Source organism: Homo sapiens, chromosome X, assembly GCF_000001405.40.
Source record: "Homo sapiens chromosome X, GRCh38.p14 Primary Assembly".
NCBI classification, from domain to species: domain Eukaryota; kingdom Metazoa; phylum Chordata; class Mammalia; order Primates; family Hominidae; genus Homo; species Homo sapiens.
The window spans coordinates 74,519,758-74,539,433 of NC_000023.11; the positions used below are offsets into that span (position 1 = coordinate 74,519,758).

A 19,676-nucleotide genomic window follows, 5' to 3' on the forward strand; every position below is an offset into this window, starting at 1 on the left:
AAAAAGAAATGTTTGAGGCAGGCACAAGCAGAAATTTTAATCTCCATTTCACAGATGAGAAAACTGAGGATTAGAGAAATGCTGTGTGACTTCTCAAGATCTCACAGCTGATAGGAGATGAAATGGCAAGGTAAGAGGTGAAATTGTGATAAAAAGTTAAGGTCTCCTGCTGTCCCAGGCTAGTACTTTTGAAGCCAGGCAGAGAGGGCTCAGGGTAAGGCTCCAACAAAGTAAAGATTCCCAATGGGGAGCTGAGCAACCTATTTGGCACTGAGGTAAGAGACACAGCCAGTTGACTAGCCCCAGACTGAGCTCCTTTGGCCCATTGGGGCTCCACAATTGGAGAGAGCCAGAAGTTGGCCCAGTGCCTAGCTCATGTGTCACTCTTTGATGATGATGATGAAGAGCTGGAAGTGTTCAAAGGAGAGTTCTGAAATTAATTTCAGAGTTAGAAATTAAAGCTAAGAGGAAAAGTTAAGGAAACGAAGATTATTTGGCGGAGAAAAGAGAGGCTCAAGATGAAACTTGATAACAGCCTTCAGACGAAATAAAAAAAAAAGCTTGAACTTTCCTTCTGAGGGCTGAGCAAAGGGAAACAGTCTGGAAGAATCTAAATAAAAGGGCAAGTTCCTTCCTCCTTAGTGAGGATTGTTATAGACACTTAAGAGCCTTTAGAAACAGGATAATATCTGCTTGAGTTTGAAGTCAGGAATTTGCCAAACATGGGCTCTGATGACGGATTTCAGCATGAGGGTTACATGACTCTTGCACAGTGTCCTTAGAAATCTTTAGGTGGCCTATGAACTTGCCTTGTATCCTAGTACAATTCCAGGGGGCTTTTGTCTGTGGCCTTCTCTACTCCTTAGTCTTATCGTCTTCACAGGGTTCTTCTAATGCTGGAGACAAGCCTGACCTTAGCTCCTGAAAGCTTAACCCCAATGTTTTTTGCCCCTGAAGCCAGTGGCTTAGAACCTAAGGCTATAGATCTGGCTTAGCATCCCTGGAAAGGCCTGAAATATTGACTAGTCCAAATCTTACCGCAGTGATAGAATCCCCTGTTTTATATCTAGTCTCTTCTTGCAAAACTCTCTGAACATCAGGGACTAGCAAGCTGGCAATGCAGACCAATGCAATGCCCCCTGTGAAAGGCCAGAGAAGAAGAGCTGAGATACCAGCAGTACCACCAGGCACTACACTAAGCTAAAGTGTCTTTGCACTTGTTTTCTCTGCAGCATGGGTCGGAGCCCTCGCGATGGGTATGATCTTCTTCTGTTCTCCCATTGTGAGTATATTCACTGACCGTTTGGGCTGCCGAATCACAGCAACCGCGGGGGCTGCCGTTGCTTTCATTGGCCTCCATACCAGCTCCTTCACCAGGTAAGGCTAAGAGTTGGTGGTTATTTCCCCAAGGCTGAGGGTTGGTTTTTTTCTGGGCTTTAGCTAGGGTTACTTTTCTCACTGCAGAATCCCCTGTGGCCATGGCCCTGTAGGGCCCTCAAAGATCCTGCACCCTGGATTCAGAATCCAGTGAATTCATCTGGGTAGGGTCCCCAGGACACATTGGTAGGGAATATCCCCAGAGAGGACCTAAGAGTTCCAAAGTGGTAGGAGTACTCTAAGCCTGGTAGTTCGTAGAGCTGGGCCCAAGTCCGGTTTTGGCCACTGAATGGCAATGGAACAATTGATGAGTACCATTGTTCTCTCTGTGCCTCAATTTCTATATCTGTAACATGAGGGGATTTGACCATATGGTCTTTTTACATCTCTTTCAACTCTGCTATTTGATTCCCCTTCAGTGTGCCACACATCTCACAACCTCACTTTCCATCCCAAGATTGAGCTTCTCGAGTGAGCCCATGTGAACACCTAGCACAGGATTCCCAAAGGAATCTTATGCTGAAAAAAGAGGTCAACTGAGCCCAAGGATGTTTAGCATTTCTGACTCTTTTCCAGATAGCTCAGGCTGCTGACATATGGATGATTTGGGACAGATAATGATTTACATCATGGGCATCAGAAGGATGATTAGCAATATCCCTTACTGAGATACAAACCCAGAACCCAGCTACCCAGCTAGGCCTGGGCTAAACTGAAACCCTAGTCCCACTGGTTCCACTGGCAGAACTTGGCAGTATCAGGTGAGAAGCAGGCTCTAGGTTCATTTTCTGCTTTCTTTTCTGCCAGCCCTGCAGAAGAATGTGTGTAGGGTAAGGGAGAATAAATACCCTAACCACAGCCTGAGGAATATGGAATTCCTAAAGAACTCTGTTGACTTTCTGCCAAAGACACTTTGGAAGTTATGGTACCTCCTACTTCCAATCTGCTTGGGCCGATGTAGGGGAATGCCAGCCTGGAAACACAGAAATGAGAAATGGCCGTGGTGACATGTCTGGGATGAGGTCAGAGCTAATTTGTCAGAGACTTGCTTTCTGAGCTTAGTTACCCAGAAAAGCGTCATGGCTCTCTAGGCCTAAGGTTCCACTCACAGTAGAGAATGATAATTGTGTTTTGCCTTAACTGGGCCCTGTGAGGTAAGCCAGCTTTCTTTATGACTTGAGCATTTCCAGCTGCCCAGCCTACCCTACAGCAGAGCTTGGATTTGGCCTGCAGTCATTTCTTGGCTTCGTCCTGTCCAACTGGGACAGAGAAGGGAAAAACCGTGTCCTGCCTGGAAACTACTCAGCACTCCCAGGGCAGCAGCTCCAAACCTTTTCAGAACCCCTCTGGTGGTCAGCCTCATTCACCCCCAGCAAGCTGGTGCCTGGCTCCTTGTGGGGAGGAGCTAGGCTTCAAAAGCAGCTCCAGTCTCAGCACTATACAGCAAAGGTCTGTTTTTTAAGACCGAGCAGAGCAAAGTGTAAACGGATTAGCAACATATGGATTCCATTTCCCTTCCAATCCACATGGGCTCAATTACAGGAGGGGAAGGAGCTCAGATGTGGTGTTTTCTTCTGGCACGCTACTGTAGGCACATTGGAGTAGGCGTTCTGTTCTCTAGCCCCTAACCTTCTTCTCTACCCGCTTTGTTCTTTCTGTAAGAGGATCTTCAGAGCCAAGAAACTTTCTGGATGGCTTCACATCCAGTGGAAAAATGGTTCTTCTCATGGCTAGAGCTCCAAATCATCCTTCCTGTTGTCTCAATCAGGGCCCTGAGTTCCTCCGAATGACATGGAATGGGGCAGGATGCAGGCAGGGCTGGTGGGGCTTTGGAAAACCCAAACAATGGGCATCCATCCCTGGGGCCCAGCTAGAAGTAGATCCACCACATGGATCTAAACCAAATCCTATGTTTTTCCCCCACTGGCCCCTTCCCTGAAGGTCTAACACAAGGCCCCTTGGATAAGGCCCCCAAGCCAGGCCGATCCCATAGGGTACCTAGAATCTAATGGGCACAGGCCCAAAGGAACCTGACAGAAGAGGAACCGTTGGCTTAGCTATGTGTTCCAAGCAGAGACAACCCTTTCAAAACCAAATCCTTGCTCACGTCCAGTGAATACCAGCAGATGGAAAGCAATAGTGATGACAGCTATCTTAGAATCATGCACCATATCTTCTCTGCAGCTTAGGCCCAGTTCTTTAGTATGAGGACTGGGTCTATCTCCAGAGAAGAACTGCCTGACCAAGAAGAGTATTAGGTAATTTAGTGGCCAGATAAGAACTATTGCAAAATATATTGAGGCATCAAAAAGAAAACAAAATTCTTTACTAGGTTGTGCCAATATTATCTGGGGGCATATGGCTGGCCAAGCTGACCTTCCTATTGCCTTTCCCCTTCTGACCCTTTATGTTACAGAGGCTTATGTCCACAGCAGGGCCTATGAGTTTTAAGCCAGGACCTGTCTTACTTGGCCAGGCCCACAAATTCTTTGAGGCTCCACTTCCTGTCAAGGAGCCAGGCTACTCTAGGGAACAAATCTATACCATATCCAGAAACAAAGGCAGGACTCTAAAAGTTAAAGAGACTCCTTACCTAATGATTCCCGCTGAGATCGTCCAGGGCCTAGTGTAAAGGGACTTGGGATATGTGGACCTTGGGCAGGGTTTGGGAGGGCGTATGTCTCAGAAGAACATCAGCCATTCTCTGAAATATTAATGGCCTTAGCATGGAGAAAGACACTGAAGAGTCCCATGGAAGGTTTCAATCTTCCAGGATTTTGACTTCTTGCAGACCTTTGTTGCTACCTGGGATAAAAGCTTTGCCACCACCAATAGTAAGGTGAGGCTAGTCTCTCTAAGACAATGACTCCCTGTAGCCCCTCATCCAGCTTTTACATGGGCTAGTTCTGGCTTTCCTTTGAACAGTCCTCTTTGATGGGGTGCTATGAGTCATGCTAGAGTCACACAGACCTGGATTCAAGTCCAAGTTTTGCTGATTCCCAGTTATGTTACCTTGGGCTAATTATTTTACCTCGCTGAGCCTCTGCTTCCCCATCTGCAACACAGGGATCAGAAGGCCCTCTTCTTTGTCTGTTCTGAGGGTCAGTGGCAAGTGGGGCTGTGGGTTAAGGGCGGAGGAATGGAAGTCTCAGGAAGCTGACAGGGGAGGGCAGGTAGATTGCTGGTCAGGCTGCTGAGGACAGCTCTTGGTATTTCTCCCACAGCTCCCTAAGCCTGCGCTACTTCACCTACGGGATTCTCTTTGGTTGTGGCTGTTCCTTCGCCTTTCAGCCATCCCTCGTCATCCTGGGCCACTACTTTCAACGCCGCCTGGGTCTGGCCAATGGTGTGGTGTCTGCTGGGAGTAGCATTTTCTCCATGTCCTTCCCCTTCCTCATCAGAATGCTGGGGGATAAGATCAAGCTGGCCCAAACCTTCCAGGTGCTGAGTACCTTCATGTTTGTTCTTATGCTGCTTTCACTCACCTACCGGCCCCTCCTGCCCAGCTCCCAGGACACCCCAAGCAAGAGAGGTGTCCGCACCCTGCACCAGCGCTTTCTGGCTCAGCTCAGGAAGTACTTCAACATGCGAGTGTTCCGCCAACGCACTTACCGCATCTGGGCCTTCGGAATTGCTGCTGCTGCCCTTGGCTACTTTGTTCCCTATGTACACCTGGTGAGGAATACCAGAGTGGGCCCACCCCACCTGGCCCCAAGAAGCTACCCTCAACCTGCCTAGATTCCAGAGGGTGGGGGTGGGAGACATTGAAAGGGCAGAGCTGGGACCTTTGGGAAAAGAAACAAAATATTGGTTGGAGAGATCCAGAGAGGGAAAAAGAGAGAGGTTGAGGGAAGACCTTAGTGGAAAATGGGGGCAATTCCACAGGGGGAAGCCCATGGACCATGGCTTCTCCCACAGTAAAAATTTAGATAGATTTTGAAGAGATACGCATTGCCAGGATGCAGGAGACTGGCCCGGGTGACCCAAGACAGGATTCTGTGGAATGCTGGTCTTTGTGGTCAAATGATTTTGTTTAGGAAGTAACATATACTGGATCTCTCTAGCTTTATAATGTGTAGTAATCTCTTAAAGGGACTAAAAAAAATTGTAGGAAAGAAACCCATTCAGCTTTGTTTAACTCACCATCCACCAAACTTATGCAACTACAGAACTGTTGGTTGTAGTCCAGCTGTTATCCTCCACAGGCTTCATGTTTCCTAAAACACACTTTGGAAGAGTTGCCTGGAAGTTGCTGGATTCTTCTCCCCTGGTGATTTGATGTTGCCCTAGGCTGTCAGTTTGGGGTAAGGGAATGGGGAGATTGTAGAGAAACCCTTGGATTTTCTCAATCATTTAGGCTATTTTCTGTCTTGCTGGGGCTTAGAAGGGGCGTGGAGGTACCCACCCTCCTTAGCTGTTGCTCAGAAGTCCAGAATCCAGACAGCCAAGGGATAAGCAGCCAGAGAGCTTGTCATGGAGGTAGGGCTACAGGAGAGGGGGTTTCTGTCCTGCTCCAGGAAAGTAAGCAGTAGGGGATTCTGGATATGCCTACAGTTAACCAGTCAGCTCCTCTTTCTCCTCCTGTTTCTGGGGATCCTTGTGCTATGCTTTTCAGATGAAGTATGTGGAGGAGGAGTTCTCAGAAATCAAGGAGACCTGGGTGCTCTTGGTGTGTATTGGGGCTACCTCAGGCCTTGGGCGTCTTGTGTCAGGCCACATCAGTGACTCCATCCCTGGACTTAAGAAGATCTACTTGCAGGTGAGTGTGACCACTTGTCCACTGTGGGGAGAAACAGCCTGCCACAAATGCAAGGTTATCCACAGCCTTTGGGATAGAATGGTAGCTTGTTGTGTCGCATGGGAAAGTCAATCAAATTCTCTGAGCCTCCATTTCACCTGCTTTTAAACAAAGAAAATCATCCTTGTTCTGCCTCTTTTACCAAGATTGAGTGAGGATTCTGTGAGAGCAGTGTATATGGAACCTATTAGAACACGTGTAAAGGAAGATTTTATTAATAATGGCTCTCCATGCTCCAAGACTATTTTCTGTGTGAACTAGGCTCTGGTCTGGTCTGAATACAGGCCACTGTTCAGGCTGTCAGTCTTTATCTACCTGGCAGCAGTATTGCCTTTCTTACCTGACTTATGATCCTGCAGGTGGGTTTATGAAGTGGTACCCAAGTGCAGAGCCCTGTGAAGGGGCAAAGATAGCCCCCAAAATCAAGTAGTCACAAGTAATCCATCAGGAAGGTGATTGAGTTCTGACTCATTTATCTCCTGGGAAAGCCCTAAAAGCACATGCAAGGGGCCCTAGCTACACTTACAGTGGTGATTTCTCTGTCTCTGATAGCCCCAAGTGCCCTCCTAAGTACCCTCAAATATCTTGGATGGAAATATGATTAACTTTTCCTTAACTTTTTTGGTGTTAGATTACAAGAGTTGGTAAATCTGCTTTGTCAGAGGCAGGGTTGCTTTTAAGGTCCATCCAATCCAACCTCATTACAGTGGTGGAGAAACAGAGGGAAAGGCTCACACAGACAGTAGTAGCAGAGCTGAACTCCTATGCAACACACTTCTCATATTCTACCTTGCCCTAAGTGATGGCAGAGCCAAGTCTCAGAGATGATAAGTGACTTGACCAAGGTCAAACCAAGAGATAATCTTGTGATTGAGATAAACCAATTGAGATTTTGAATTCCTGTGCAAATATCAGCAAGTGCTTTATCTGGGTGGCTATTTGCATAGGAATATGTGTGGCTTTCCCAGCCTCACCCACATGACACCCCTGTGAGTCTTCCCTGCCAGTATTAGCAGCTCCAAGATGCCAAAGAGTTCTGGAAATCAGGGTAATCTGGCATTGGGCCAGGGCTTTATCTTGAGAAGAGGCAGCAGCCCCTGCCTAGTCGTATAACTCATGTGATTCTTACTACAGTCCCTAGGAGAAAGGTAGAGTCTGAGCAGCTTTTGCTTTCTGTTATACAGTGGGAGTCCAAGGGACAGGGAGGCATTAGCCAGTTAGAGGCCAAGATAGGCTTAGGACCCAGTGCCTCTGCTGACCACCCACCCACTGCTCCTGCCCCTTTTCCTTACTCTTACTTCACCGAGTTTTACTTAGAATAATATAAAATAATCTTAGAACATTATAGCTGAAACATATCTTCATCAACTAGTAGTTGAACTTCCTCATTTTACAAATTGAGTGTCTTGGGCCAAGAGCACAAGACAATGGATGAACTTCTTTCTCTTGAGTTTGTTAAGATACTCCATCACAGGAATTTGCCCCCCTTTCTCCCTGCATGTAATGCAGGAGTACAGGCCTAGGGGAGGAAACGAGTGTACACACCTTCAGGTTCTGAAGAGCTATCCACTAGACTCTGTGGCTCTTAATGTTGGTAAAGACAAGCACATATCTCTGGCTTCAAGCCCCTGGACAGTCTGCTGGAAAGGAAATAGCGACAGGCTGCAGGACAGCCTCACTTTGTGCCAATTCTTGAGGCCTGTTTCTCACGTCCAAGAGGGATTTTAAATTTCTGAATCTTGAGGCCTGTTTCTCACGTCCAAGAGAGATTTTAAATTTCTGAACCTTGGCAAAGCCTCATGGAGGATGTTTAACAGACAGCTAGATACAATAGGTAATACTTAGACCTGATTAAAATCAGTTAATAGGGTCCTTTGTGTTATATAATGGTATTAACTTTTAATTTCCATAATGGGCTTTGTTGATAGGTGTGTCTGGTTTTATCCCATAGTTGTGTGTGAATCTCTTAGAGGAGAAGCTCAGGTACCGGGGTTCTTATTCCTAGCTTCTGCCTAGCTACCTCAAAACTGCCTGGGCAAAGTTCAAAGTCTCCCAACAAAAAGATGTCCTCAGATGGCATTATCCTCTCCAAAAATCAACTGATCAACCTAAAAAACTCACTGCCAGCAACAACATAGAAAATCTTTAGGGCACCAAATAACCTTGACCCCCACTCCTTCCATGTGTTCTTGGCTAAGTTGGCTTGCTTGTGTGAACTACTGGAAAATCCTTGGGCCTATTAAGGCCTTGATAGAGAGATCAGATCTTAGCCCTGACCCTGGGATGACCTGGCTCTGACCTGGCTCTACTGGCTGCAGGGGGTTGGCAGCAGCGGGATGGGGGCAGGGTTCCTTTCTCTGCCTGAAGCCCAGGTCTTCAGTCTAGCTGGCCAACACAGGTTGCAAATGAAGACCAGCTGTGTTTGCAGCAGCCCTTTTCTCTGTGGAGAAGGAAAAAAAAAACAACCTCTGGAAAGGCAGTTTCTTCATTTTGGAGTCATTTTGCTTAGCCCAGAGAAAGCCCAGTGGCTAGTCAGTGTTCCTGGGTTGGCTTCATTCTCCCTAGACATACACCTTCCCAGTGGCTTGGTTCCCCTGGAAGGCTCCTCTGTTGCCTTCTCAGGGTGTCCAGCCAAGCCCAGAGGCCCCCAGAGCCATGTGTCTGAGATGTCTGAGATAGGCAGTGCAGTCCATGTCCTAAAGCATAGGAACCTGGGTGAATGTCCCAATGGTTTCCTTTATGCCAAGGTATTTTATAAAATCAGCCCCCACAAAAATGGGCTCTGGCTCCTTCCCCATTTCAAGAAGCTGTGCCTTCCACTTACAACCCCATCTGATCATCATGCAAGCCATCCTCATGTCCTCCCTTCCCTCTTTCCATATTTTACTTGGATCTGAGAACACCGGTATGGCCTGATCCCAGACCCTGATCCCTGGGGAAGCCAAATACAGGCTCAGAAAGCAGAAACAACAATTCCTTTTATCTTAGGGTCTAGTGCAAGACAAACTTCTTGAGGCCAGGGGCCAAGTATCCCCCAACTTTCTTTTTTTAATCCCAACAGAATCACAGTTAAGTAGGGGCTTTCTTGGACTTTGAATCCCTCAGTGCAAGACTTTGAAAGGGCCTAACCATTCAGCCCAACTGCTCTCTCTGTTGACACCTTCCCCCTCCCACCACCCCATTTTATAGATGGTAGAAATGAAGACTTGAGAAAGGAGATGTGATGCTATGTGGTCTTGGCTGGCCAGCACAACCTGACCTCAGGCCCTTGTTTCTCCAGGTCCTTTCCTTCCTGCTCCTGGGCCTGATGTCCATGATGATTCCCCTGTGCCGGGACTTCGGGGGCCTTATCGTCGTCTGTCTTTTCCTGGGCCTTTGCGATGGCTTCTTCATCACCATCATGGCCCCCATTGCATTTGAGCTGGTGGGCCCAATGCAGGCCTCACAGGCCATTGGCTACCTCCTGGGCATGATGGCCCTGCCAATGATTGCTGGGCCCCCCATTGCAGGTGAGGCTGATATTCCAGGGAGGGCATGAATCAGGGAGTCCTTTTTTCCCTGGGTACTGGCACTCCTGAGCATCTCTCCTTGAGGCCCCTTTTCCTCTTATCGTCTATTTAAGCAGCTTTGTCAGAGTGCGTGAAACCCCTTATCACTACTGGTGGAAGAGATTAAACACAGTACACACGCATGGATCCATTCTGCGGGATGGATTTTCCATGGTGGTATATCTGTTTCAATAGGATTTTATTTCAGACAGCAGGGATCCTTCCAGCGGGGTGGAGAGAAAAATGAGTTTGGCTTTCTGACAGTTCCACTGATCTAGTATCCTCTCACTCTCTCCACAGGCAAGTGATTATTTGCAAGGTAGTTGGGTAGGAAGAGAAGAGAAAGCAGGCTCTGGTTTTATTAAAACCTAGGGACATCCTCCTCCTCCTCTGCTGGCTTCTGAACTGAGCCTGTAGAAGATATTTGATTAAAGTAATACCCCAGAATTAAGCCAGTGAGGCTCACCTTCAGCAGGAAAAGTGTTGACTTGCCATCTTTCAGCACTCCTGGTTTTCTCCCTCCATTTTCCCAGAAGGGCACTGTTGGTATCCCAGGGAACGAGGAACAGAAAACCAATGACAAGAGAACTCCAATTTCTTTTCTTTTCTCTTTTTTTTTTTTTTTTTTTTGAGACAGAGTCTTGCTCTGTCACCAGGCTGGAGTGCAGTGGTGCAATCTTGGCTATCTCAGCTCATTGCAACCTCTGCCTGCTGGGTTCAAACGATTCTCCTGCCTCAGTCTCCCGAGTAGCTGGGAGTACAGGTGCGTGCCACCACACCCAGCTAATTTTTTGTATTTTTAGTAGAGACGGGGTTTCACTGTGTTAGTCAGGATGGTCTCGATCTCCTGACTTCGTGATCCACCTGCCTCAGCCTCCCAAAGTGCTGGGATTACAGGCGTGAGCCACCACACCCGGCAACTCCATTTCTTTTCTGTAGGATTTATTGTAAACATTGATTCACGCATTAGCTTCTCCTAGGCTGGTCAAATGAGTTAATTCAACAAATATTCTTCGAACACAAATTATGTGCAAGGTGATATGAGGGCACTGTGTGACAGTGGCAAAAGCTTTCACTCAGGCTTCTGGGCAACAGCCACACTACCCATTGGGGGAAGGGGGCCTCTACTCACCCCCTGATCCAAACAGTGCCCCAGAATCCACATTTCTTTCCAATTTGCTTAACTCCTGAGTAAGCAAAAGGCCAAGGGCCTTTTTGCCTTTTCTGAATACTGTTTCTGGGCTCTGAGGTACTACGAGGTACCACATATTAGCTTCTGGAAGTGAGTAGGGAAGGCCTTGCATCCCATGTCAAACATATCCTTGGTTTGGCAGCTTGGAGAAACCCAGAGGGGACAACCATATATGTAACTGAAAGGAACACGTATAGCCTCTTGCTAGGACAAATGGAACTTCAGAGAAGGGTCACTTCAGAGAAAAGGAAAATAAAAACTCATCTGAAATGTACCACAGGAACCATTTGTGGGGGCAGGGGGCGGGGGTAGGAGGCTGGGAAATATCACTGTGGACCAAGACAACACTTGGCCATCTTCTGTGGATTTCTTTTAAACTAGGTTTCCTCCTAACTCCGTAACTAGGTGTGACTAGATCTTAGATTGATGAAAGTCATAAATGGAGAAACTTTAAGAGAAGCTTCATTAGCTTCTTTCATAATGAGCATTCGCTCAAGGGCCTGCAGCCCCAATGCCTTGAAGTTGAGGGAGCTCCTGAGTTAAGGCAATACACGCCAAGATTATCTGGATAGGCACTGTGATGGCCCCTAGAACGGGCTGAGAGTACCTTTGGACAGTAGGGCAAAGCTGAGCTTGACTTGTCTCTCTTGACTGTTTCAGGCCTACTCCGCAACTGTTTTGGGGACTACCATGTGGCCTTCTACTTTGCCGGTGTGCCCCCCATCATCGGGGCTGTAATCCTCTTCTTCGTCCCTCTGATGCATCAAAGGATGTTCAAGAAAGAGCAGAGAGATTCCAGCAAGGATAAGATGTTGGCCCCTGACCCAGACCCCAATGGGGAGCTACTGCCGGGCTCCCCCAACCCTGAGGAACCAATCTAATGCCTTTCTTGCCATTGTGTGCCCTTTCCCAGCTCTTCCCCTTCATCCCACCCTGCTCAGCATTTACATTTTTGCCACCAGCACACTTGTTCCCAGACCTGCGCACACAGCATTTCAGCCACCTGACAATCTCCTTGGAGTCAAAGCTCCAGGTGTTCCAAACTCATTAACTAAATTCTCCCCAGAATGCTTTTAAATTTTCCAGGGCCTTTCTCCTCCCAGGATCTGGGAAAGCTTGGGAACCACCCCTGGCCTTTGGAACCTCTCCATATACTTTCTAAGCTCTGGGGGAGGAGGAGGATGGGACCTCCTGGACCCAGCTTGTTAGTCACCCACTATAATCAACTGCCAAAGGTGCTACTGTGTCCCCAGGAGCCTAATAGGGTAGGCCCAAATCTCTGTTTGCTGAGGAGGTCATTGCCATCCATATTTGGGAGCCACTGGGTGGAGGGGCAGGGAGGCAAAATGAGACAAGTAGCCTTGGTTAGTCTTAGAGTTGCTGATGACTGTGGCTTCCCAAGAACTGGGTACAAGCAGTGCCCTTATTGTATGGTTGGTTAACAGTCTGCTCCCCTCTTCCCTTCCTTCTTTTTTTCCTCTACTGACTTCTCTCCATACTCTTTCCCCTCTATTTCTTTGTATGACTGTCATAGACACATGGGTGCTTGAAGAAAGGAGGGACCCGGAACTTGGGCCAATCAGCCTCACCTTGTCCCAGTCCACTCCTAACACTAGCATCAGTCCCACTCATCTCAGGCTGAGCCACATCTCACTTTTTCGCTCAAGCTATATAATCCTAGACTGGAAGAGTAGAATATCATATAGGGAAGAAACCTTAAACACCACAGTGTTCCATGTTCCAGTCACTGATTTTTACAAATCTTACAGTCCAAGGCATTAACCTCAAGGCCCTCCCAGCACCCCATTCTTGTATACACATGGCAAAATGTGAAGAAACTCCTTTCATCTCAGCAGGTAGAGGAGGACTGATGACACGAGCTGCCATGGCGGGAGGAGGGGCAGTAGTTATTGATATGGTGAGCCCCATCTCTCAGTTTTCATGACAGGTCTATATTTCTACCTGGGCCAGGCCAGGAAAGAGACTATTTAAGAAAAAAAAAATCAATTCCTAGCCTGGATCCCAAAAAGGTACAGGCAGCAGTTGCACATAGGGTTGGAAAATTTCTTTTGGGAAGGGGAAGCCATCCCAGCCTTTACCACCCAATGTGTCTCCCATGCTGGGCATCCTAGGCCACTTTGCTTAGAGGGCATTAAAGGTGCCATGAAAGGTAGACTCTGAACCACTTTGATCCCTCTGAAGTAGGTGACTGATGCCTCCTTATGCCCAGGCTCTGGCAACAGTCTTACTGAAGAACATTCCCAGTGCCCCTGGCTAGGGGCAGAGGGCACTGCCAGGCTGTGTTCAGTTAGCACAGCTCACCTCATTAGGAGCTCAGCCTCTCTCCTCACTCTGCCTCTTTGTGTCTCTTTTTCTCCTCTCTGAGCCTTTGTCTATTGTGTTCCTGTCACCCACCCTTTCATCATCTTTTTGCCAGGCATTCCTGGCTGTCACTTGGAGCCAACAGTAACTTGCCACCTTAAGGCAGGGTCATCCCCGGGCCAGGAGGATGAGGTTGTCCTGAGGGGCTCCAAAGAAGACAATAGTTCCCACTCATGATTTTCCGTTACAAACAGGCAGCTGGGGCATGGTTGGCCTCCAATGATTTCATTCAAGGCCAAAGTCCTGAGCCCCCTCCGCTGGTCCCAGTCCAGCTCTTATCAACTCCCCAAAGGAAAACCCACTGGTTCTTAGCTCTGTGGGTAGGAAGGGGCCCTAGAAAGGGCCTAGTTACTATCCTGTCAGTTCTAACAGTAGTGGAACAGGAGAATCTGGGCCCTAGGAGCCCTGTAACTCCCAGGAGAGACCACTGAAAATACTGGAGCAACAATGCCCCTGCTTCCATTTCTCCCCACCTCACTCTCACCAAGTCACCAGAGGGTGGTTCTGTAGGACCTCTTTTGTTGCTTAAGATGCAGATGGCTCTTAAGAATCAGGCAGTCGCCCACTTCTCTCCAGATGAAGGGAAGACATTCATAGGTCCCAAATCTGCCCATTCAGATGTCACATAATATGGTGGGATATCAATTTACTTCTTCCACACATGTGGTTGTGCACATGTGAGCTTGTGTGCTTTTGGAGAGAATGTTGATTGGCAAAAGCAGCACAGTATTAATATTTAGAGTAGGATGCAGCCTCTTATGCACCACAGTTAAATCTAGAACGAACAAAATTTCAGAGCTCAAGACATGGGACATTTAAATCCTCAAGGAGTTTGGAACAAAATAAACAGATCTAAAAATTTGGTTTGGGTATGTATGTTGCCTACAAGGAAGAAATAGTCTTAACCTGATTAATAGCAGAAAGTTTGACTTCAGAGCTGAAGTCTCCTTTCAAATCAAATTTCTGCCAGGTTCTATGCTCTCTGTGAGAGCAGACATTAGAAAAAGAGCTATATAGGGGTTTGGAGTTGGTTGACTATTTGAGATTGGATTTTTAAACAAGCTCTGAAGTGGAAAAGTGGTTACTTCACAAAATGAGAATGTGGTTACTTGCTGAGTTGGAATGGAGGCCCCACCAAGGCCACAGCCTTGCTACAAATGTGCCATATTGAAAACTGGCATTAATAATAATCCAATTCAGCTCTCCTTCCCTCTCCCTTATGTTATTGATGGGGAACCTAAAGGGACTTATATGGCTGGCTGACACAGCCTGGCAGTGACAGAGCCTGGAATTAAGGATGATGCAGGAGACAGACCTATAAGAATGACAAAGCTGAGAGTAACCTTAGAGTCTCCCTTGTCCATCCTGTGCATTGAATTTAAGTGGAGAGACTGAGGCCTAGAGGTAGGAAGAGACTGCAGTAGGTTCACACAGTTCATCAGTGACAGAGCAAGATGAGACTTGAACTCATGTCATTGACTTCCAGTACAGTTTACACCCCTGGTTTTACAGATGAAGAAACTGGCCCTAGGAGGGATAAATGACTTGCCCACTTCATTCAACAACTGTGTACCAAACCCATTTCCATAAGTGTGTCAGCAGGACCAGCTCTGAGCAAAAATGAAAGTTTAGCAAAGTTTAACTTTTAGCATACCCCATGTCTTCATGATTACTCTCACCCGCAACTGACACATACTTTTGGTATTCTGTCTCCCAGTCACTCCAGACCATGCAATCTTGGCTTGGAGACCTGGTTTCACCTACTGTCCCTCCACCCCCAGCAACTCAAGAGGTACAAAAAAAATCCATCTCCAAATGGCCACATACTGGGCAGGGCAGGGGCAAAGAGAAGTGACTGGTTTCCGGTTGGAAGAAGGTGGTTTACCACCCAGCTCTTGGCTATTGTTTCTCCTCAGACTCAGTGTAGACACCCTCAGGCTGGCTTCCTCATCTCCTCCCACTGAGGCTAATTACTCTGTCCCATTGCAGGGCCCCAGGCTCTCCCACCTAAGGTCTGCCCCGCTCCCCTAGCCCCTTCCCCAGCAGCCCCAAGGGTCCAGTCTGTGTTTGATCACCCAGGATTATTAGATTTCAAAGCTGTGGAATCCCATAATTTTTACGAGCATATGCTCTCCTCTAGGGTCTTTTCACGTCTGAAAAGGCGGCCAGCAGCTCCCTGCCACTTCTCCACAGTAGCAGTGCAGGCCAGCTGACAAGGATTACAAATCCCTAGTGTCTCATAGCTGGCGCCTAGATAGTGTGGGTGACGGGTAGAATAAGAGCCCTTGAAGCAAGTTCAGAAATTCTAATAAGCTGAAATGCAGCAGAGACTGCAGAGGCACAAGGAAAGGGATTAGATACCCAAATCCTGCAGGGGTTCAGGAGGCTATGCTTCAAAGCCCCTTTGATTCCTGCCTTTCAGCTCTCTCTAGCGGTCACCAAGCGCAAAGTTCTATGCCTGGTTTTCAAGTCATTTAAGCAGTCTTTTCTAGAGACCTGCTGCGTGTCAGACACTCTGCTAGAATCCGGGAACTTCAGGAATGAAAGGAACATAAGTAGAAAAAAACCAGAAGAACACAAAGAGTTTGTACTACCTAACTTCCAAGATACCCTTTTCTTCTCTGGGCGCCAGTACCCAGAGAGTACCGACCTTAGCGCCAAAATTCGGTCCTCTCTGAGGCAGATCAGGAGCCACCACGCCCCCAGTGAAATGGAGGCGGCAGGAATCCCACCCCCAACCCCTCTTCCTCTCCCCACGACTATCCTCCCGGGGGCGAGAGTCGCCCGGAAGAACTACCCGCGCCTCGGCATTGGTTTCCTGCTGAGCCCCAGCCGGATAAAATTAGTCGATTGCTCACACTAACAAGTGTCAGAGTCCGCGTCCAGCTGAGTGGGTGGGGAGAGCAGTACTGGGCCGGGCCGCATTCCCGCCCGGGCCTGTCAGAGCAGCGGACAGACAGCACCTGTCGTGGGCCTCCTCGTTCCCTCACTCCTGCCAGAGCCTGTGGCCCCCCCGCGGAGACCGGGGACTACACTTGGGAGCATCTTTCCCCAACTCTCGTCACCGCAGAGACCGCGCCGAGCCCACCTGCCAAATGTTAATACACTGGAATGCCAGGGGAGGGGAAAAGAAGGTTGCACTTCTACTCTCCTTTCCCACCACACACCCACCCTTCACTGACCTCGCCACGACTGGGCCCTGGCATCCGGGCCTGGGGGTGCTAATCGACACTATTTCCCGCCAGGTCCCCATGCCCACTCCACACTCTGGGACTGCCTGGGGGTGGATTTGGCCCTGGCGGTCGCTCCTGGTCCTGCCGCTGGCCTCCGGCCACCTTGGGCGGGGACGCGGAGAGTGGGGTTGGCTCCTCCCCCGCCGCGGGTCTCCATCCATTTCCCCATTTGGGAGGGGTAATAACCCGGGAGCCGCGCCACGGAAATGCATCTTCCCCTGCTATTCAGACGGGAATCCGCCCACCCATGACAACCGCCCTTCCCGCCTAGGGAAAGGGGGCGGGAAGACCTAGCCTCGGGCCCTGCCAACTGCCAGCAAGCCAGACGGATAGACAGCAGCTGCTGCGTGTCCGAGCTCAGCTCCTCCTCGATCCCCCGCCCTCTACCTCCCTGCTCGCTCCACCGACACCAGGGGCCGTAGCGGCGACGGCGCCCCACCCCCAGCGCTCGGTCCGGAGCCCTCGAGGTGATCCGGGCTGGGCCTGTCGAGGATCTTTTACAATCGGCGGCCCCCTATTCTCTCCCGACCGGCCTCGTCCCTAGCGTCCCAAGAGCGGGATCAGGCGGCTGCTAGCGAAAGACCTACAGGAGCCCAGACTCGAGGCCCGCCAGGATGCGGAGACTGAGGGCGGGTTCGGCCGCCAGGAAGCGCTCCCGCCCGGGGCAGCAATCCTCCTCCGCCCTCCTCTGCAACCTCCAACCCGGGAGGGCCCTACGGGGCCTCCTCCTCCACACAGTGGGTCAGCCCAGTGGGGCTGCTTTCTGCCAAAGACTTGGCCCACCCTTCAAGCGCCCCTTCCCCCAGTCTCCATAAAAACTCTTTCAGAACTCCGGGGAATCAACCATGCTGGTGGGAGCTCCCAGCTCAGGCCTACTCCCCCATCTCACAGTTCCCGATCACACAGGGGAGCACGCGGGATTTCCTAGGCTTGAGAACCCTCCTCCAAGCCTGGACGGAGCCTCAAGAGTGGTGAGAAGGACCAGATTGACTCGAAGAGCCGCCCTCCTCAGTTTGCTCCTCTCCTACACTCCTCTACCCTAGTCTCCACCGACCTGCTTCCTTCTGCGCTTGCCTAGTGGGGGGTGAAGGAGAGGACAACTACCTTCACTTCTCCCCCCAACTTTCACATACACCCTCCGTCCCTTAAGGTGGAGTCTCCTGGGAGGCGGGCAGCCTCGCAGATCCTTCTGCCTTAAGGCCTTGCAAAGGCAGAGTTTCCTCCTGTCAGTCTGGGGTCTTCCAGCTCCCTGCCGCATTTGCCACCTCCTCCCACACTCCTTTCATCCTTCCCCGCAGCATATCTGGACATAGACCACCCCTCGACCCCGCAAAAAACAAAACAAAACAAAACAAAACAAAGCCTTGAGAAATCTCCAAACACCTGTGCGTGGACGAATTACAGTTCACAGTTGCTCCTATATCCCTCATCACAATTGGCCCTCCCCCCAACCGTGGGAGGCAACTGCTCTTAAGCCGGGTTATAGTTGGGGGAATTGAGGACCGGGGGGAACTGAATGTGGGTTTTGAACGCTTCTGCAAGGCCCTTTCCACCCCACTTCACAGAAAGTAGGGAAGTGAGCAAATCTCTCATTTTCCCTGACTTCAGAAAGCCTGCTTGCTGCTCCTGGAGTCAGCACCTGCTCCTCCCTTGTCCACTCTATCCCCCAATGAAGGCACTATTTGGGAGTGGCACTACAGCCCCAAGATGGAGGCATGGAGGGCAGCAGAAGCCGAGCCACAGTCCTTGTGCACCCCCTGGACTTCCCCAAGGAGGGCATGTGGAAGAGAAAGTCTGCCTTTCTCTGGGAGTATGGGTCATTGTCTTCTAGGTTCCTCTCCCCCTTAACATGGAGGAAAAACTCCAAAATAAGCTTGCGTGTGCTCCACTCCCTCAGTCCTTCTCTCATGATTCAATAAAATTATCATCACTGAGGGCTAATTTCCAGGGCTTTGCTTGATGCCCACAGGCCACAAAAGGAAGAATTCTTTGGGCTGGTTATTTGGGGACGGGAGGGTGAGGAGCAGCTCATGGGAGGCTCTGCTTTCGTGAGAAAGGATTTGCATGTCTAAGAGGTCAACACAGCTAGTCCAGGGCTTCCTCTCTTCCAGACTTCCAGCCCTGCATCAGGCTACAGAGAGGAAATGGCAAAGAGCAGCAAATATTATGCAAAAGGGTAAAGGAGCTCCCAAGCTAGGAGCTGGGAGCTCCTGGGAAAAGAAAAGGGAAGAACATGTCTAAACCCCTGCCCACAGCTGGGCGTGGTGGCTCACGCCTGAAATCCCAGCACTTTGGGAGGCCGAGGCAGGCAGATCACCTGAGGTCGAGAGTTCGAGACCAGCCTGACCAACAAGGAGAAACCCCATCTCTACTAAAAATACAAAAAATAAATTAGCCGGGCGTGGTGGCACATGCCTGTAATTCAAGCTACTCAGGAAGCTGAGGCAGGAGAATCGCTTGAACCTGGGAGGTGGAGGTTGTGGTGAGCCGAGATCACACCATTGCACTCTAGCCTGGGCAACAAGAGCGAAACTCCATCTCAAAAAATAAATAAATAAATAAACCCCTGCCCACACACCTCAGTGAGGTGGACTTGTTCTGTATGTGCCTCCCAACTGTGGCCTTTACCCTCCACCTCAACTTGCCTGATCCCAGTTGAGAGACTCCTCATATCCACAGGGGAGTTTGGTGTTTTCTAGCAGCCCCTACCCCTCAGTACCACATTTTTGGTAGTCTCTAACTCTCCAGATCCCAATAAGTTCTAGCCTAAGCCTTTCCTTCAGGCTGAATAGCTTCAAGCATCCAAGCCTGGTCCCTCCAAGATGAAGACTCACCTGTCATCCACAAATGGCTGGGCCTAGAAAACAGGAGGAGCTGTTTCAGGGAAAGTCAAGTTCCATGCAAAGCTAGTTCCTTTCGGTAGTTCAGTAAATAGTTGTAACCGATGAAATCCAGAAACACTTTTAATATGTTGACAAAGCACAGGAGCTTCAAACCAACATACCTTATTTACCTTTTTCTATCCAACTGATTTCTTCACAGTTTTTGGTTAATATCCTTATAATATGTTTGTTTCTTATATATTTTCTTCTACAAACCATCAGAGGCTGCTAAATGTTTGAAAAACAATATAGGCTTTACACCGA

The 19,676-nt window shown here is 49.2% G+C and overlaps 1 protein-coding gene across 1 annotated transcript in view, besides 1 other annotated feature; it reads left to right on the forward strand.

The window, feature by feature from the left end:
- Positions 1 to 14,159, forward strand: part of SLC16A2 (solute carrier family 16 member 2) — a 112,424-nt gene extending 98,265 nt beyond the window's left edge. Inside the window, exons 2-6 of the mRNA NM_006517.5 lie at positions 1,233 to 1,377; positions 4,602 to 5,052; positions 5,993 to 6,136; positions 9,456 to 9,684; positions 11,576 to 14,159. Coding sequence (NP_006508.2) covers positions 1,233 to 1,377; positions 4,602 to 5,052; positions 5,993 to 6,136; positions 9,456 to 9,684; positions 11,576 to 11,796 — 1,190 coding nt within the window. The 3' untranslated portion in view covers positions 11,797 to 14,159. The remainder of the gene's footprint in view (positions 1 to 1,232; positions 1,378 to 4,601; positions 5,053 to 5,992; positions 6,137 to 9,455; positions 9,685 to 11,575) is intronic.
- Positions 4,514 to 5,014: an enhancer, noted in NCBI's record as "H3K4me1 hESC enhancer chrX:73744106-73744606 (GRCh37/hg19 assembly coordinates)". NCBI's record gives its function as "activates a minimal SCP1, AML or CMV promoter by ChIP-STARR-seq in primed H9 embryonic stem cells {active_cell/tissue: H9 hESC(primed)}" and the evidence as "EXISTENCE:reporter gene assay evidence [ECO:0000049][PMID:30033119]".